Consider the following 19,585-nt stretch of genomic DNA (forward strand, 5'->3'; position numbering starts at 1 on the left):
GTTTGGAAGTATGTTAGGTAAATTCAACTCAAGGAATGACAAGGAGGGGACGCTGTGGCTGGACCAAAGGTTGGAGATAATAGGACTACAAGGGGACACTGTAGGTCACGGTGAGGATTAGCAATTTACTCTGGGTGACTGGGGAGTAGAGCTGCCAGATAAAACAGAGGATGCCCAGTTACATTTGAATTTCAGATAAACAATAAATAATCTTTTAGTATAAGTATGGCCCCAAAATTATAAAATCATTCATTGTTTAGCTGAAATTCACATATAAAACTAGGCAATCCTGTGTTTTCATTTGTTCACTTTGGCAACTGTAGTTGGGAGCTATTGGAGAGTTTCAAGGAAATGAGTTATATCATCTGCCTTATGTTTAAAAGGATCACACTCACTGCTGTGCTGAAAATAGAATGCAGGAAGGCAATGGTAGCAACAGGGAGGCCACTTAGAAGTAGTTTCAATAATCCAAATGGAAAGATTGAGAGGTGTGTGGGTATTCAAGAGAAGATTCTAGGTTACATGGGCTAGATACATAAATTTGAGATCCAGAGGTTTATGGATATTACTAAAAGTCATGAGACTGGACAAGATTGTCAAATGAATGTTATTAGGAAGAGGTGCCATGGTTATAAAGTGATCTCTATTAAAAAGGGGACTGAATCTAGAAACATTGTCATAATTCCAGTTGAGAGAGAGAGAAGGAGGAACCAGTGAAGAGGACTGAGGAGTGGCCAGAGAGATAGGTGGAAAACAGGGAGAGAGTGCTGATCTGGATACCAGTGTCAAAGTGTTCAGTGAAAAGAAGTGAATAATCAGTTGTGTCAACCACTGATGATAGGTCTGATAAGAGGAGGATTGAGGATTTTCCACTGAATTTAGCAATACGTCATCATGGAGTACCAAGTGCGATTCTGACAAATGATGAGGCAAAAAATATGATGAGCATGAGTTTAGAAGAGAATAAAAAGAGGGCAGTGAATGCAACATAACTGTCGTGAGCAGTTGCTGAGAAGAGAGGAGACAACATGCGTGGTAGCTGGATGACGATGTGGGATCAGGAGAAGCACATATTCCTTTAAAGATGGGAGAAGTAATAGCCTTATTGATGTGCTGAGGGTAATGAACCAATAGAATGGCCAATGGAAAAAAGAAGAAGGAGGAGGAGAGAGAGAGAAGAGTGCAGGAGGCACACTTGAGTGGTCAAGAGATGAATGAGATGGAGTAAGGAAGACAAACAATGTTCGCCTAGGGTCACTGGGAGGAAAGTCAGTTGCTGAGGGCCAGTGAGACATGCAGGTAAGTAGCGTGAGGAAAGTGTTCAGAAGTCCTTTTCTGATTGCTTGTAATCTCCTTGTGACAGAGAAAAAAAATTACCATCTAAGAGTGAGGATGGGAGAAATAATGCCAGAGGCTTGAGGAGAGGGAAAATGTAAGGTAACAGTCTAGGAGAGGAGTAGAGAAGATAGACAAAGAAGATGCCGAATGTCTGGACAGTAGCACTACAGAACATATGACTCTAAAACAGGTCTAGAGAATGACAACAGCATTTCATTCATGGACAACATTCATGGTGTGGGGGCATAATTCTGTGGCTGAGTATTTCCAGAGCGTTCTTAAATCAAGTGTGCTGGCCAATAATCTCGGACAAGGAGTCTCACCGATAAGAAGTCAAACTAAGCAAATGCTGCAGTGATAGGAGAAAAAAAAACACACACAGAACACATTGAGAGCAAAGAAAGACAAATACACAGGAAAGCTGAAGGAAGAATGCCTAGGTGTCCACAGAGAATCTCCAGAACCCCGAAAAGCTACCAAGATCAACGGCAACTTTTGTTACTAAGGCCCTTTAAGAACTTGGCTAAGAGAGATTAAATTCATGAGTCGGTATTTTAGAAATTTTTGAAGACAAGTTGATAAAAGTTTATAATAATTAAAAAGTTAAATTTCAGTATCAGAAACTTAGCAGGGCCAAAAATCCTTACTTGAACTGAGCAATTGGCTGTCTTCACAATGAATTCAATGCTGCTTCTTATTCAATGTGGAAAACTGGTGAAATTCAAATCCGAATTTTAATCATCTTCTAACCAATTAGCCTCAAAGAAAGGGTATTTGGTTCAAAGTATTAGCTTCAAGGGACTTGAAACATTCAGTGTAAGCAGTAGAGTTTCTGAGAAATCAGTTTTAAAGAGGACTATTTAAGTTGGTTAATATGAATGCTCATGCAACAAATACAATGCCGTTTTTAAAACCATTTTTCAGAAATGGTTACTTTAAAAGAATTTATCTTGCTAAATGTCTTCCTTATTCACTGATGCAGAAATATTTTCTGACTTCTGATTATTTTGTGCAAAATATTATGAAAATAATTATATACAAGTACTAGGAAAACTGGTTTTATATGCACTGATCAACTGTGGTTTCAGCTTGTGCTACTGCTATTCATAATTTAGGAAGTGGTTAGTTTGTTCTTGGGTTTTGAGTATAGAATTATATAATTGTTGACACAAGGGTAACCTCTTCCTCTGATATTTAGATCCTGGTATAATCCTGTATCTACTGGACAAAGCAGTTTCTAAGTGAACACTGGAAATACTTTTGTTTTATTGAATCCACTGCTACAATCTGAAAACATTTATTTTCTGTGCTAGCCAGAATGAATGAAGTTGGTAAGATGTGAGGTTTTCCCTCTAATCAAATACGGAGTGCAGACAGAAAAACTTATGATTCTTAAACAGCTGCCTAGAAAAAATACATTTTTCTGGTTTGACAAAATAGTAACATAGAAAATAAAGAGTTAGGCCTATAATTCTTCACTTGAAAACTCTTTGCCTCTGAGAAGGCACATGATGTACAAATTTGTTTATGAAAATACATAAAATTTTACTTAAGATGATAGACTCAGCTAAACAAAAAATAAGCTGTGTGTACGGGGGCATTCAAAGACTGGGTGTAACTACAAAATATTTTATAAATACCAGCCAGAAGTCTATGAACTTTTCTCAAGATCTGCACGTGTGCACACACATGCACACACACACCAACTAGCACTCATCATCTAGCTGCTTTTATTGAAAATCAGGTCACTTGAGAAGTGGCTGACAAAATCGAGAAACTAAAGAAGCTGAGGATATATAATCTGAAGAAGTAAAGACTTTATGAGACATCACTAAAAATTAGAAAGAATACTGGCCGGGTGCAGTGGCTCACACCTGCAATCCCAGCACTTCGGGAGGCCGAGGCAGGCGGATCATGAGGTCAGGAGATCGAGACCATCCTGGCTAACACGGTGAAACCACATCTCTAATAAAAATACAAAAAAGTTAGCCAGGCATGGTGACGGGTGCCTGTAGTTCCAGATACTCAGGAGGCTGAGGCAGGAGAATGGCGTGAACCCGGGAGGCGGAGCTTGCAGTGAGCCGAGATCATGCCACGGTACTCCAGCCTGGATGACAGAGTGAGTCTCCATCTCAAAAAAAAAAAAAAAAAAAAAAGAAAGAATACTTTGAGGAAACATAGTATCATGGCAAGAACATGGAATTTTAAATCAGAAGACCTGGGCACAGGCCCTGGATTCACCATTTATCATTTTATGAGTGTGATCACTGGCCAATTATTTATTTTCTCTGTATTTTAGTGTATGTATCTGTAAGACAGATAATAACACATAAGCTATCTAATTTAATGGGTTGTTTTGCAGCTCAAATAAAATAATGCACATAATTGTATCTTAAAACATAATAAGCATGCATTATTAGCAATGGTGAAGGTCATAAAATTATTGCAAGTAGCTTCAAAGGAAAGATAAGGACCTGTGAGAGGAAGTTGAAAGAAGAAAGATTTTTGTTTAATACAGGAAAGAACTTTCTGAAAACAATATTAGTTAAAAATGGAATGGACTTAAGAGCTAAGAGACAATGAATTCTTATATTTTATGCCATGGTCACAAAGTCATTTTGTTTGGGAGGAAAGGAGATTGTGAATCAGATGGAAGATAAGCAAAAACAATTTAAAGGTTTCTCCAAATGTTGAAACTTTATGAATTTGGATAGAATAAACATGTTTAAATATTAACAACACAAGACAATCTTCCCCCTAAATTGATCATCAGCAAACAATGTATGTCTATTGCAAATTCTATCCATCCCAATTTTTCTCAACAAAAATATTAACCTCAAGATGTGAACTCCAAAACTTATACCAATTATTTATTGAGATTTTTTCATCCTAATTATTCACTAAACATGTTTGTGCATGTGAAATATTCTGTAACATGAAAGGCACAATACAAATTAGGTACAGCTATTGTGATGCCATACTGAGAACGGGGCAAGCCAATAAATTAAGTTCCTCTGGCACAGGGTAGGAACTTGGATGTTTTTTATTACTCCACATGATCTGAATCTTTTTTCCTGCCTGGCTTTTGCATTTTACATCCTACATTGGCATCAATTTCACATCTTGAAGGTGCCAATGATTCCTCAGGCAAACCACCAGGGATTTTTCCTAGGATCAACATTCATATGGAGCTTAGGGCTGCGGCTCTCTGGCTTTGGGCTTCAGGAATTTGGTTTACCACAATACAATGCAAAGCCTGGCATTTTCCCAGCCAGTACTACTTAATGACCTTGTGCTGCTTGCTGTCACAGGAACATTTGTCTCTGCCACCAGAACACCAAGGAAAGATGGATCTATCATCCATTCATTCACTTAAAATTTTAAGAGTGCTTACTATGTCCTAGGTACCCCACTATAAAGTGAAAATACAAAGGTTAAGACAGGCTCTGATCTCAAGACATTTGGATGAATTGCCATCATTCCTGTAAAAGAGTACAATTATTATTGTTGATATCCAGCTTATCGTGTATTTATTACTAACGTGGAAACTCAGAAATGATTATGTTGAGTCTGACATGCTTTAAAATATCCAAGCTCAGAGAACCTCAAAAATAAATTTTCTTTTAATCAAGCATATAGTAACAACAGCTTTAGGACAGTTTAAAAAAAAAAAGAGGAAATAATGTAAAGAATGCACTGAAATGACCTAATAAAGAAGAATTATTTAAGATAAAGCTTGAATTTCAAAGAACTGATTCACACATTAACTGGGGGAATATCTGCTAAATACAAAGCAGTGCAAACATAGATTTTACATATTTAAATTTTAAAACAAAATTATATGTATTTATTTTGTTTCCTACATGTTAACTATTTAGCTTTAATTATTTAGCATCCCACGTACCACACTGAAATTTCCCTAAGAGTAATAAAATACATTAGTTGTGGTAACCTTACAAAGATGCATTACAAAGACAAATCTTAAAACATATTAAAAACATGTCTTCACTGAGTAATACATATGAGTGTGGTAACAGCAATGTTAACACCTTGCCTAGGATTGGCCTGAAAACCTAATCTCCATTTGGCCATGAACTTTCAAATATATTTCGGGAAAGCCTGGAAACTTTGATATATCTAATGAAATCCTCCCGTTTATTATTCAAAGAGATCAACAGGGATATTTAAAAAGCAATTTCACCATGGTTAACATCTGTAAAAAATTTCTGTCAATCCCAAGGTCCAAGGAAAACGCCTAGGATCTTTGTCTGCTTAAAACAAATGTGACCAGTGAACTGAAATTCTTAATGTTCTAAATTCAAAAGTAGCACACTGAATCTGGTGGGTGAGTGGTTAGGAAAGTGATTAAATAAATACTAATATCTATATAATATACAATTTGGATAAAAGTGTAAAAAATACAGGTTCCACTGGAGGTACAATCCAAATATATGAAGGAAAAGACAACTGTCAATATAATTTATTCATAATATGAATTAAACAAGTAGTGTATTGGTGGGACACTTGAGCCAATTTGGAATTGAGTTAGAATGTAAAAGTCACATTCCACAAAAAATCACAGAGCACATTTTTAAAAACAAAAACAAACGTGTCAAGATCAGAAAACAGAAAAGCAGGGAAACAGGTGTGCATACATGAGCAGATAAATATTTTGAAACTCCAGCATCTCACAAGCAAAATGTTTCAATTGAATGACAAGTTATTTCTACCAAAAATACACTATCTTCAGGCAGAAATGCCATTATCTTCAGGCAGAAATGCCATTAATACACAAAGCAAATACCACTAAAGGCCAATTCCACGTAGTGTGCATAGTTCAGGAAGTCTACAGACCTATCTAAACAATGAATAACTGTGGTTTCCAAAACCTTTAATCTGCATTTCCAATTATAATGCAGAGAACAAATTTCACACACCTGCATTTTATAAGCACTACAATGAGACAGCCATCCATAAGTCATCACTCTTGCCTCTTCTTTTGTTTCCCTGAAAACTTAAAGATTTCCAGAGGGTATGAAGGAAACCCTCACCTTCACCTCCGCATATTGCCATTGGCACCAAACAGTTACAGGGGACAGATGGACTCTGGAGTGTTGAATCAGAAACTACTAATTGAACCTGAAATTCCTGTACTAGAGATTGATGAGTTCTTCAAATAAGGGGGAAGCAAACTCAACCACAGGGCATAACTTCAACAAGCTGTCTATTTTAATATCATAGAATACAAGTAGACATTCAATAAATAGTTCCTATCTTCATTAAACAGTAAAATTCTGAAAAGCTATCATCAAGCACAAATTCTTAAAAGGAGTCAAATGTTGATAGAAGACTTTAAAATCTAGATTTTCTAAAGTCCATTTTAGATGTAGCAGGTTATAATGGAAACTATTTTTAATATCAATTTTGGGGACTATAAGAATTAATCTTTACATATTTTAGTGTTATTATACAATCTTTTCCCAGAAAGGGACGTAAAATGACCAAAGAGCATACTCTTTCATGTACAAATGATACATCTTTTATAATCTAAGACTTTTCAAACTCACGTTGTGACATGTTTAGTGGAGTTGTGAAATCAATTTAGTGCATTGTGACCAGCATTCTTGAGAAAAAAAAACAATTTCATATAGTAAGGTTAAGTACTATTTTATAATACATATGAATTATGTGCATATATATATATATATATATATATATATAAAACACTTTAAAATGTTATATGTGTGTGTATACATGATCACACTTTAAAATTTGTCCTTATAGTGGGGTCTTGGGCAAAAAAATTTTTTAAATACCAATCAGGGGGGCAGTGGCCTGGAATCAGAACATGTCAATAAACCTGACCTTAAAACAAAGGTAACACATACTTGTTGACTACCACATGCTAAACACTGGGCTAAGCATTTCATAGTAATCCTCATGATAATATATGGCAGAAATTTTTGTCATTCACATTTTTGGATTAAAAAAAAAAACTGCCCAGGTTTATATAGGTAGATTCATGGTAGGATGGGAATTCAAGCCAAATGTGAAGCACTCAAGGTTATAAGAACACAACACCCTTGCAGTGAGATTCAGTAAAGGATCTTGGTTAAGGTCAGTAACTGAGGAGCTACTAATACCTTAGTAGCATCCAAGGTCTTAGAAGAGTAAGTACTACTGTTAACATGGATGATATAATTTGTATCATAAAACATTGTCCTATTCCAGCACCTTTGACTGCGCACTATGTGTGGATTATGGCAGCTTGTAAGGAAAATAAACCTGAGATAACTTTAAACCGTGTTTCTTCAGCTTGATCTTTTCATAGCCCTGGCGTTGCTGACACACTGGGAAAGCTGAAGCAGCTTAGCTGCTTACAGCTTACACATTCAACCATCTTTCTCCTTAAATCAGGACATGCTCTATATTGGAAGAGCATGGTATATATTAGAAAATAGAATGTGTGATTTTAACTAAGGAGTTGTTTTAACTTACAGAAGAATTTAAAAACAAAAAAGTTTGCCTCTTTCCTAAAGAAGCATTAGAGTAGGGAAATCTGGACAAAATTTTGAAATATTAGCTTTCAAAGTAACACAAACCAAGAAGTAGCTTAAGATAGGGAAGCATTTAAGAAGAGAAAGAAAAATAAGAATGAAAGAGAAGAAGGAAGAAAAAAGAAGGGAGGGAGGAAGGAAGACAGGAAGAAAAGGAAACTCTGCTTTTCCTTTACTTTGGTGAGTAATATTTTTTACAAGACCTTTTGCTTTTTATTAATAAGATAAAAATATCTATTTATATACCTTCATCTGGAATTCTATTAAAGGGTATCATTCTAGTAGAACACTCACTCCTTCAAACTCAAAGAAGCCTGCAACTACATAGAAAAATAGCTTGAAAACTAGTGAAGCTAATTATAGAAAAAAATCATGGAAGAGAACAAAAATATATTAAATATCAACATTTTGTCAAGCATATTACTAGCTACTTGGATATATATATACCAAGACACGTTACCAATCACCTCTCTATTGACCGCATGCATTTAATTTACGATTTTCCAATGACATATCATGCAGTATCAAGATGGAAACAGAACAAAGGACAAAGGACAGCAGCTATTGCCATCGCTGACCTGGTTTAACCACTTCTCCTATGCATGTGAAGCATACTGACTGTTGACACTGACAACTCACTGAACACTACTGCTTACTGGCATCCTTTCTGTTTCCAGCAGTTAAATCTTACACTTACCAAGAGACACTTGTATTTGTTCCCAAAAGTATTTATATCACTAGCACCTGTTGTTTTAATTACTAAGTTATTCAAATATTATGTAACCCAATTAAATATGAGTTATTGCTTCTTTGAAAATTTAGACGAATGCCTTGGAAGGACTCCATATAAAATGAGTTACTATAAAAAACTGCTGTTAAGTCAGGTATGAGAGAGATAACTGTGAAATACAGGAAGGAAAGCCTCATAAAATCATGGAGGATTTCTGAGCTTAGATTGCATTAAAAGGTATCTTTAAGTTTTCAATTTAACTCAAAGAAAACCAAACTGAAAGTCATAATTGAGGCATTGTGGCTATAATTTTTGGAAGAAATACAACACAACTCCAGTTGGCAAATCCCTGTTTAAAAAAAAAGTACAGGCCCTAAATGATGAGTGGTAAAATTAAAATTAAATGTTTACCAATATGTACATAATTTTTATGATTCTCCACCTGAACTACTCAAGTTAACTAATGGTCCAGCTACAAACCCCAAATATGTTCATGAGCAGACTTCCAATGAATTCTAAAATTAAGAAATACTTTGAAAATATCATGTGTTAATGTGGACTGCTTTGAAAACAGTTTAACTTTTACATATTGTATAGTTAAATTTAATATGTAAAACTACCATATAAGATACCTGTTGGAACCAAATTACATAAATTTTGCATGGGAGAGATTTAGCTGCACTACAGTCATCAATCTTTTCTAGAAAAATGAAGGGCTTTTAAAGCAATCAGTTCTGAATCTTGACATCAGTTTAAAGCTGTAGATTATATCTTGAGCTCTTAGTATCCTAAAACTTCATTAATCTCTGTCGTGGAGGCAGCAGAGCCTCATTCATGGATTTATTTATAGTGACTATTTATGTTTCACACGTTTACTCTGAATCCCACATCAAGAGGAGTGATTTGTGGTATTATTTTTGACTTTGTAATCTTTAATCTATGATAGATGTTGTGCTCCAAGCTGCAATGATGGTTCTGCACCACACTGCAGAGTTTTAGATAAAGATTATAAAATCACCTACTTCAGAAAAAAAGTTTTCCTCCTTACCCAAGTTAATATTCTAAAGCCATTTAGTGATACAAAATTATACCCTCCTTCTTGATACTCTTGATTGAGCCATTTTTAAAACTATGCACTAATCAAACATTTTTTAACTTATAAATGATATCTTTTTATATAATATTTTTATTTAGTACCCCCATAGTGTTTTATATTTTTATTTATTCATAATTTCCTATTGAGTTTGGTGAATTGTACCAAGTATCAATGTCTGTTTCCAGGTTGTGGTATACTATTATATATTCATGCAAGATGTTATCCTTGGGGAAAATTAGGCGGACAGTATACAGGACCACTTTGTATTTTTTTTTTTTTTTTTTTTTTTTTACAAAAGGTGTCAATTTACAATTATCTCAAAATAAAACTTAAGTAAGTTCTTTTCAAGCAATATTGGTTGGGAGGCATTGTGCTGTAGTTGAAATTATGGATTTCACTATAATTTTTCCCATTTATTTTCTCTGAACCTCAGCCAAGCTGTATTCTCTGAGTGTACTTCCTTTTAGGCAAAATGGTGATGATTTAGCATAGAGTTACTGAAAAGAATAAATGAGATGACTTACAGCAGGAACCCAATATAATAGTAAGTATTCGAGAAATGATGCATACTATCATTATTACTATGGATAGGCTGTTGGTTTTTTAAATCAACTTAATATAAACTTATAGAAAATTACATATAACTCTAAGTCAAATGAATGCTTACTTTAAGCAAAGTCACAATTTGCTACAACCTTGCAAGACAAAGAAGAAAGTATTAAAAGAAAAATGCCAGGTGTGGTGGCTCACGCCTGTAATCCCAGCACTTTGAGAGGCCGAGCAGAGCGGATCATGAGGTGAGGAGATTGAGACCATCTTGGCTAACACGGTGAAACCCCATCTCTACTAAAAATACGAAAAGATTAGCTAGGAGTGGTGGCGGCTGCCTGTAGTCCCAGCTACTTGGGAGGCTGAGGCAGGAGAATGGCATGAACCTGGGAGGCAGAGCTTACAGTGAGCAGAGATCGCGCCACTGCACTCCACCCTGTGCGACAGAGCGACAATCAGTCTAAAAAAAAAAAAGAAAAAAAAAAGAAAAACTTCAGACAATTAAATTTAACAGAGCTTAATTGAGCAAAAAAATACTTGTGAATTAAGGAGCACACTCACCCCTCGCCCACACCCCACTTCAACCAGAATAGGTTCAGAGCAACTCCAGCACTGTCAGGTGATCTGACAGAATTTAAAGACAGAAAAAGGAAAGTGATACGCAAAAAACAGAAGTGAGGTACAGAAACAGCTGGATTGGTCACAGCTCTGCATTTGAACATGGTTTAAAGTTCCAGGGATGTCAAATCTTTTGGCTTCCCTGTCCCACACTGGAAGAAGAAGAACTTTCTTGGGCCACACATTAAATACAATAAACACCAACGATAGCTGATGAGCTACAATAATGAAATAAAGTAAAATCACAAAAATAAAATCTCATAATGTTTTAAGGAAGTTTCCAAGTTTGTGTTAGACGGCATTGAAAGCCGTCCTGGGCCACATGGGGCCCGCGAGCCATGGGTTGGACAAGCTTGGAGTTGGTCACCTGCGAGCGGTTGAAGTACGGCTGCTGTGATTGGCTGAGACTGGGCTACTCCTTACAAGAGTAGATTACAGTCTGTTTACACATCTAGTTAGGTTACAGTTCATTATGTAAGAAGAAACCTTTAGACCGACATTAAAATACTTGAGGAGACCAGGCGCGGTGCCTCACGCCAGTAATTCTAGCATTTAGGGAGGCCCAGGTGGGTGGATCACTTGAGGTCAGGAATTCGAGACCAGCCCGGCCAACATGGTAAAACCCTGTCTCTACCAAAAATACAAAAAAATTAGCCAGGCATGGTGGCGGGCGCCTGTAATCCCGGCTACTCGGGAGGCTGAGGCAGGAGAATCACTTGAACACGGGAGGCGAAGGTTGCAGTGAGCCGAGATTGCAACACTGCACTCCAGCTTGGGCGACAGAGCGAGACTCCGTCACAAAAACAAAACAAAACAAAACAAAAACAAAACAACAACAACAAAAACCTTAAAGAGGCAGCTTTAGGCTAAACCTCATTTAAGAGAAGTAAAAATCAGATGCAAAGGGCATCACAACAGCAAGGTCTAAGATCACACCAAAAGCCTCTATGACCTTTCAGAGAGTTAAAATCTGCAAATTGCTCAGTGACATGAAATTATGCCATTGCTCTTAATGCCAAATAAAGACTGTAGCAAGGTAGAGGAAACAGTGAATGGCAAGTGAACCTCTTTTACGTAATTGGGAATCCTATTAGAATTCCCCTGACTTTAACACAAAACAAAACACTGTAGGCCTGGGTAGAAGTGAGAGTTCTTCATATTACTTTTATCAGTAATAGGATTAGGATACCACAAAACATCACTCATCATATTCCAAAAAGAAAGGAAAATATTGGTGTCAGAAAGCTTGAGATGGCTTCTCAAGAATCTCATCCAAAGGATGTGTCATATATTTTAATACCTCCTCACTCAGGTATTGAAAGTCAAGTTTTGGCATGCAGTGTTTCTCTGTCTCTCTAACAATTCAGTGCTTGCATATTTCTTTCTCTAAAAAAACTAATTACACTTAATGCTATTTCATTAACTTGTACCCAGCAGAAAAGTGCCCTTTTAAAATTCAACTCTATCAGAATGTTATTCCACTGGAAAAAAAGGCACTTCCTCTTTAGCAATGCTACACAAATTTAAAAACCCAATTTCAGAGGAGGTATTGGAAGCTGCCTGGGCTGATTTGGAGCCTCCTACGTTTATGTCCAATGCCTACCTCAGATTTTATGTTAGAGTCTTAGATAATTGCTACCTCAATGTCTTTCCTATTATTTTCCCATAAAACAAAATTTTTAGTATAAACTTTAGCTTTCTTAAGCAATCTGCCTTGGAAGAACCTAAGATAATTCATGTACTCCTTTAAAGCAAGAGATGACAGCCTTGATCTCTTGCCTGAATAATTACTTGTGGTGAAGAAGCACAAGGAAAGGCATCAGCCAGGTATTTCCATAATGGCTTTTATTCACACTTACACAAAACCTGACTTAACTAGAGTGGTAACATCTATGCAGACACAGGACCTTTGCCCTGGGGCCAAGACACAAAGACATCTTGGAAATTCCCCCCTCAGTTTTCTGAGGCCTTTGGTGGCCTACATGTGGTCACATTGCAAAAAGCCGAAAAAAAAATTGTATTAGTCCTTAGATTTGTGTTTTCTCCTCCAAACTTACTGTAGGAGTGCCTATATTTCAAATACTGTGCACAGATTGCATAATTTCAAACTAAAAATGCTCTGAGTCTTTTGCATACCAGAGTGACACATTCTGAGGTGTTTAATAGAAGACAGCCTATTCACTAGAAATACTTGCTTTCCAATTTTATTCTCCTATTTCTTAGCTAAATTTTAGCCTTACAAGGTTCTATAAGAATACAGTTCTGAAAAATTTGGCACTGACAAGATTGCTAAGATACATCATGGAACTGGGTAATTTTGCTAATATTGATGAAATATGACTGATAAGAAAAATATTGACTGCATTCATATTTTTACTTTTTCTTAGACTCCAGGTGACATTTTTTTAAAAAAGCTTCTTGTTTGGATTTGAATTTTATAGATTACCGTGTGGAGACACTACAGTTTAACCCTCAATATTTATCACCATTGTCACTACTAAAAAAAATTGGTAAATTCTAATTAGTTCACCATTTTTTCAAAGTTACCAAAGTATCCATGACATCATAATCAACAGGAATAGCATACAGGTGTTTTAATAGGAAAACAAAAATGGTCAGAAGAGATCTTAAATTTTTGTTTCTTTCTCAATGATCTTTCTCCTATTTTCCAAACCAGTCAAGAGGCAGTCTGATTTTAAAGAGAACTCTCTTCACTCTATATATGTTGAGTTTTAATCTACAAAATGGTAGTAATATTTCAATATGGGGATTAAATAATATATTTTTTAAAACCACCATAAGGCACACTTATTTTAATCTATGTTCATTCTCTTTTGCCTGACTCAAGTATTTTCAAATTGATACAATTAAGCATTTTCTTTCCAAAAGCTTAAAATATATGAGCCTTTCAAAATTAACATCTTTAGAAATATATAACACTAATCATACTTATCTTTTAGCTTTGTTCTAAGATTATCAGAGGACATAAAAATGGAAAGTTATATACAAAATCAGATTCATGTGATTTCAAAGTAATATTAAGTAAATAAAAATACAATTATATCATCTGAATTAGAGAGATATGTAAAATTTTAAAAGCTCTAGTTTTAATGTTCAAAGCATTTAAATATATTAACAGCATTACTAAAATAGGCAAATTGTTGATTATTTATGAGAATACTGATGAGAGTAGCATTTTCTCAAATGTGTGGATCATATGGTAAGTCATTTGGTGACACTTGCCACGTTATTATGAATGAAGCAGGGTTGGCATCCTAGTGGATACAACTAGACATTACATTAATGTTATAACAGAGTTCAAGACATGCTAAATAGCTCATCAATATTGAAACTGTCTACAAAAATTGTAACTGTGAGAAGATTATGACAGTGAAAGGGCTCTGATTTAATCAACCCTCATCTTGCCTTTAACTTCCAAACTGCCCTTAGTCATTCCTAGACAAAGCTAACTTTGGGAGAAATTTAGTTTACAGCTTAAGTTTTAATACACCTTTCCCCAAACTCAACTGTCACTGTAAAATGAATGAAACACTATGAGGTTAGGAGGATGAGAGAAGCCTGAACTTTGTTAAGGTGTAGAAGTAAAGGATTATGAGCCATTATTCCCAAGGTCAAAATATTTGCAACTTCCCCAGTTACTCTTGCAGATAGCATCACTATTGTAGAACTTAAGATTGGTCTTTTGGATGTCCTTCCAGACGTTTGCATTTCTGATGACCAATAGCTCCACTCAGACTCTTAACAGGTCCTGTGGCCCCCACCCAGAAGCAGAGTCAGGGTAAAAGGACCGATTTCCATGCCCCTATGACTGCATCCATAGCCAGTCAGCAGCACCCATTCCCTTGCCTGCCAAACTATCCTTGAAAAACCCTAGCCTCTGAATTTTGGGGAGGCTGATTTGAGTAATAATAAAGCTCCAGCCTCCTGTTTAGCTGGCTCTATGTGCATTAAACTCTATCTCCATTGCAATTCCCCTGTCTTGATAAATCAGCTGTATCTGGGCACTTGACAAAAAGAGCCCCCTGGAGGGTGACAGTACCAACCTCTACATATGCCTTTCTTGCATATAAAAAGTAAACACAATATTAGGATAATCATGCAAAGCGTCTCCTACTAGGGGTTATTTTATCTGGCATGGGAGGGAAATGGAGAGTTCTTCCTTGGAAGCCATTTATAGAGCATGGCACTTGGCACATACTATGTCCTTAATATACTTCTGCAGTGTTTTGAATATTTTATTAATCAAATATAAAGTCAATCTTTAATATGCACATCAATATATGAATTCCACTAATAAAGAAAGAATGCAAAAATGGTAATTGTGGCTCTGTTCTCTCCTGAAATTATTAATTCTAAAGGTGTCTGTAAAATGCATAATCACTTGTGAAAGGAAAATAAAAACTCAGAACCCCAATTCATTATGCTAAAAGCAAAAAATTAAGCTGAAACCTCAGTCATACAAGACACTGCTTTTCCTTTTGTTCCTAAGTAGACAGCGACAGATAAAAGGTTAAATATCTTCACAGGTAGCTAGCTACTCTATGTTCACCTTATGTTACACAAAAAGCCAAATTAGTGAGCCCGAGACAAATACATAATTGTCTATTTTCCTACCTGCCCCTTTTTTCTTGCAACATGTGGTTACTATATACTCCCTCTTTCCCCTCTAGCCCACCTTTCCCCTTTAAATACTGAAGCCCTCAAATTCATCGTTGGAGAAAGGCATGGGCCACAGACTGTTTTGATGATTCTGTGTTGTTTTCTTCTGGGTATATCGTTAACTTTGGCAACATAAACTTCTAAATTGATTGAGATCAGTCTCACATACTTTTTGGCTTACACCCTTAAGGCCAAAGAAAGTCAGAAAGGAGTCAACAGCAATAAAATTCTGAAAACTAAAAAGGAGTTGGATGTGTCGTCATTGGATTGGTGGGCTTTGCAAAATTTGGCAGGGGCATAGACAAGAAGCAATTAAATATACATAAAGGAACAATAAAAGAATGACTAAAAATCTGTTAATGAAATTGCCAGATACCCCAAATCTGCTTTCCTCTTGGCAGAAGACAGTTCAGATTCGTTCTGTGGAAAACCCAAGCAGAGTTGAGGGTATGGAGAAGGTAGAGTAGAAACATACACACACATACACACACACACACACACACACACACACATATACATTTTACATACACAAAACATATATATTAGATATATACAATGCCAAATATCTCAGTGTTAATCAACTCAGCTCCTAGTTCAGAACATTGGTAACCAGTATTTATACTCTTAGAAAAGAGATGAGAGGAATCAGAGTGTTTTGAAGAAACTGACTAAGCCAGCACGCAGTACAGTGAAGACAATAGTGGGCAAGCCCATCCACAGGCACAGAATGTCCAATCAACTTTTAAGTGGCCAGCTTAAATTCTAGACTTAATCAGAATTCATTTAAGTTTGAGGGTTAATACTTAGAGCATTTTAAGTTATGCAAGGCTGCAAAAATTTTATCTCTGATGCTCCATTTTCTCAGTATATTCATGGAAGTTTTACTCTCTTCGCAAACAAGGAAGTAAATTGAGACACAGGAAGACAAAAGATCCAGCAAACAGAGGATCTAATGCAAGAAAACGTCAAAAGGAATACTCAGGATGATGGCAGAAGGAGACTGCAAGGATGACGGTTTGTGCAGCCATTCTAAAGGGCAAGCAGTCCACATTGGAGCAGGCCAGATGATTGCAGCAAAGATTTCTTGAAGAAGATGAAATTATTAGAAAACCAAATGTGTCTGAGTGTACTGAGAGGAGATTTACACAATCTGAGGAACAGTTTCAGGATGAATCAGTGATGAATATAAAAGCTAAACAAGCCAAAAAATAATTCTAAGGGAAACATAAAAAGAACAGAAACGGAAATGTAGTCATGGTATATAGTTCAAGGCTCAGCTGTGAAAAATGACTACAGAGCCACCATAATGTACACAATGAATTTGGATTTGATATAATCAAGATATAATAGAGGATGGGGTGCTGGGAAATATCTGTATGTGTGGTAAAGGCAGGAGGGTGACAGAAAGTGAAAGATGGCTTTATCTTCCAGTGAGAAATCGATAGGTAATTTGTAAAAGAGTGAAGAAGTAGATATAAAAGCATGTTAAATAGAGTCGTAGAGGTAAATTCAAAAGAGTTATTTCAAAAAATTGGAAGTGCCTGCCTACAAAGGGCAGAAAAATCATTTAGGAAGGGGAAAGTGGTATGAACTGCTATTTTTGTAACAAATGTAAGAGAAATATTTGCCATTTAGAAACAGGTGCAAAATTAACTGACAAAATTAAAATTAAATGTAAAAAATGTATATAGAAAATGAAAGAATATTTCTTGACAACTGGAAATGTCTTATTTTACTAACAGTATCTAACATTGTAGAATGAATGAATATCTATTCCAGAACTGTGCTTCAATGCTGGAACTATGTCATCTGTGAATTACCAAACAAGTTTAGTGTTGAACAGAAAAGGCAGCAGAGGACAATCTTTCATAGTTCTGTGGGTAACAGACACTGACCGTTGACAAAATTGATAGTCTTTAATATAATGCTTGGAAGAGTTGGTACAATAAATACAAGTGCTAGAAACTGAAAGATATCTACCTAATTTTATGGGAAAGTCCCACTCTTTTTGTAACCCTGAAAAATACACATGTATTAAACATGTGTGCAGAGTTTCTAATCTATTCATATAAAATTCATTTGTTTGAATATAAAAAAATTCACCAAAATCTTGAAATAAAAGTAATTGTAAAAATAAATAAATAAACAAATAAATAAATAACTGCTAATGTTGGCAAGTTAAAAAAAAGTAATCGTATTCTGATCAAACTATAGTTTAGAGCAACTGAATCTCCAAGCATATCTGATGAAAACACAGATAATTGAGTATCACCCCAGACCAAGAAAATGAGGATCTCTGACTAATCTGGTAACAAGCATTTTTAATATGCTCTTGAGAGATTTTTATAACACATTTGAGAAAAAATTTATACTGAATAGCTCCTGGACTTTTTGTTTGATTGCTTATTGATTTTTTTCTTTAATCTAAGGGTTATGACATCCCTCTGCTCTCCACATTCCCATCTTCCTTCTCAAAATCTTTCCAAACCACTCAACATGACACTCACATACTGCATTTTTATAGGTATTTTTTTCCTCCAAAACGAGATAAGTTATCAGAGACCAAGGGAGATATTATATACATCTTTGAATCTTCTCAACAAATATCTGATAATTAAGGGATTTAGGGTATTGAATGGGTAGGAATATTGAAGAAAAACTATTTAATTTATAATTTTAACTTGCACCATATTTATTTCTAGAAAACAACTCCTTCCATCAGGTTTAGATGGAAAGAGTTGTGAGGTTGCCATTTTAACTCCAAGCTTTTAAATCTTTGTGGCTTTAGCTATAAAATATGAATCAATCAAACCTCAAGGTTTCAATTAATCTACGATTTTATTTACAACACTCTTATAAAATGACTTACAATAATCTGTCTGCCATTTACCATTCCTACATAGTGCTAATTGCGTTTTTCTTTCTAACTACAAATCATAGCATCTGTGAAATTTTTTCTTAGCAAGAAATTAATTGGAACAAAAGGAATCAGTAGAAATGAAACAGAGACACCATGATCGTCATATGAAAGAGAGCATTGTGCCCATGGAGAAGTGGAATTGAAAAATATATTAAGCAATTCTTAGCCAAGTAAGAGTTTAGTCTCTATAGCAATTATATAATTTCCTAGCTGCAATAAAATACTGTCATCTCAAGACTCCTTGCATAAATATACAAGTATATTGTATATTTTAATAAAAATCTAATCATTCAACAAGTGCTTCAGACTACAGTGTAGATAAATAGTACTTGAAATACCTCTTCCAGTCTCTAAATACAAAAAAATTCTAAGCATCAAATTTTCTCTTAATTCTCGAGGTAAATACAAATCTATTTTTAAGTAAGTTTTCAAATAAATGTCGACTTATTAGAATTGGTTTAACAATAGGGGAATGCAATGCAATAAGTTATGAAAATTTAACATTTTAAAAAATCTTGAGTACATCCCACCACTAATGTTTTTCCTGTAGGATTGGTGTTATTATATTGCTCTAAGTATTTTTATTCCAGGCATGCTGCTTTTTTTCCTAGGAAAGAAAGTGAATTAATATATTTGAAGCCTTGTTTGAGAGTTGGTTGGAGTTTTTCTTAACCTGAACATAAAAGCAAATTTGGCTTTCAGTTAAGACTTTTCTTGACATGATATTAACAGTGAAATAACCTACTGGCATATGTCAGAAGGGATGAAAAAAAATATCCTCCCTCCTCTTTTCCCCCTCTCACTTCAATATTCACTGTGCTGCTTTGTTCACCATATCCTGCATAATTAATAACCACTTTGGCAATCAGTCATGCATTCCTTAATAGCACCTCAGGCATCAAGTGTCCTTCTAACCCCTCCCCACAGAAACCCTACACCCTTCCACAGGGCATGCTGGCCAGTACGCCGTCTGAACTCTGGATAAGTCATTTACAAAATCACCATTAAGAAAAACACACAGTGGGGGTTATAATGTGGCTATAATACTTACATACTATACTATATTATTAATCTTTGTATATAATTTAATAACAAGA

The 19,585-nt window shown here is 35.4% G+C and overlaps 1 protein-coding gene across 7 annotated transcripts in view, besides 2 other annotated features; it reads right to left on the bottom strand.

Moving 5' to 3' along the window:
• Positions 1–19,585, bottom strand: part of PDGFC (platelet derived growth factor C) — a 211,346-nt gene that overhangs the window by 26,051 nt on the left and 165,710 nt on the right. The gene's annotated exons all lie outside the window — the stretch shown is intronic.
• Positions 8,388–8,557: an enhancer, noted in NCBI's record as "experimental_75074 CRE fragment used in MPRA reporter constructs". NCBI's record gives its function as "activates a minimal promoter by MPRAs in K562 erythroleukemia cells, with activity observed for the non-introgressed 4:157716129 variant allele {active_cell/tissue: K562}" and the evidence as "EXISTENCE:reporter gene assay evidence [ECO:0000049][PMID:34662402]".
• Positions 10,936–11,436: an enhancer, noted in NCBI's record as "H3K4me1 hESC enhancer chr4:157718592-157719092 (GRCh37/hg19 assembly coordinates)". NCBI's record gives its function as "activates a minimal SCP1, AML or CMV promoter by ChIP-STARR-seq in naive H9 embryonic stem cells {active_cell/tissue: H9 hESC(naive)}" and the evidence as "EXISTENCE:reporter gene assay evidence [ECO:0000049][PMID:30033119]".

This window comes from Homo sapiens, chromosome 4 (genome assembly GCF_000001405.40).
Source record: "Homo sapiens chromosome 4, GRCh38.p14 Primary Assembly".
In the NCBI taxonomy this organism is placed as follows: domain Eukaryota; kingdom Metazoa; phylum Chordata; class Mammalia; order Primates; family Hominidae; genus Homo; species Homo sapiens.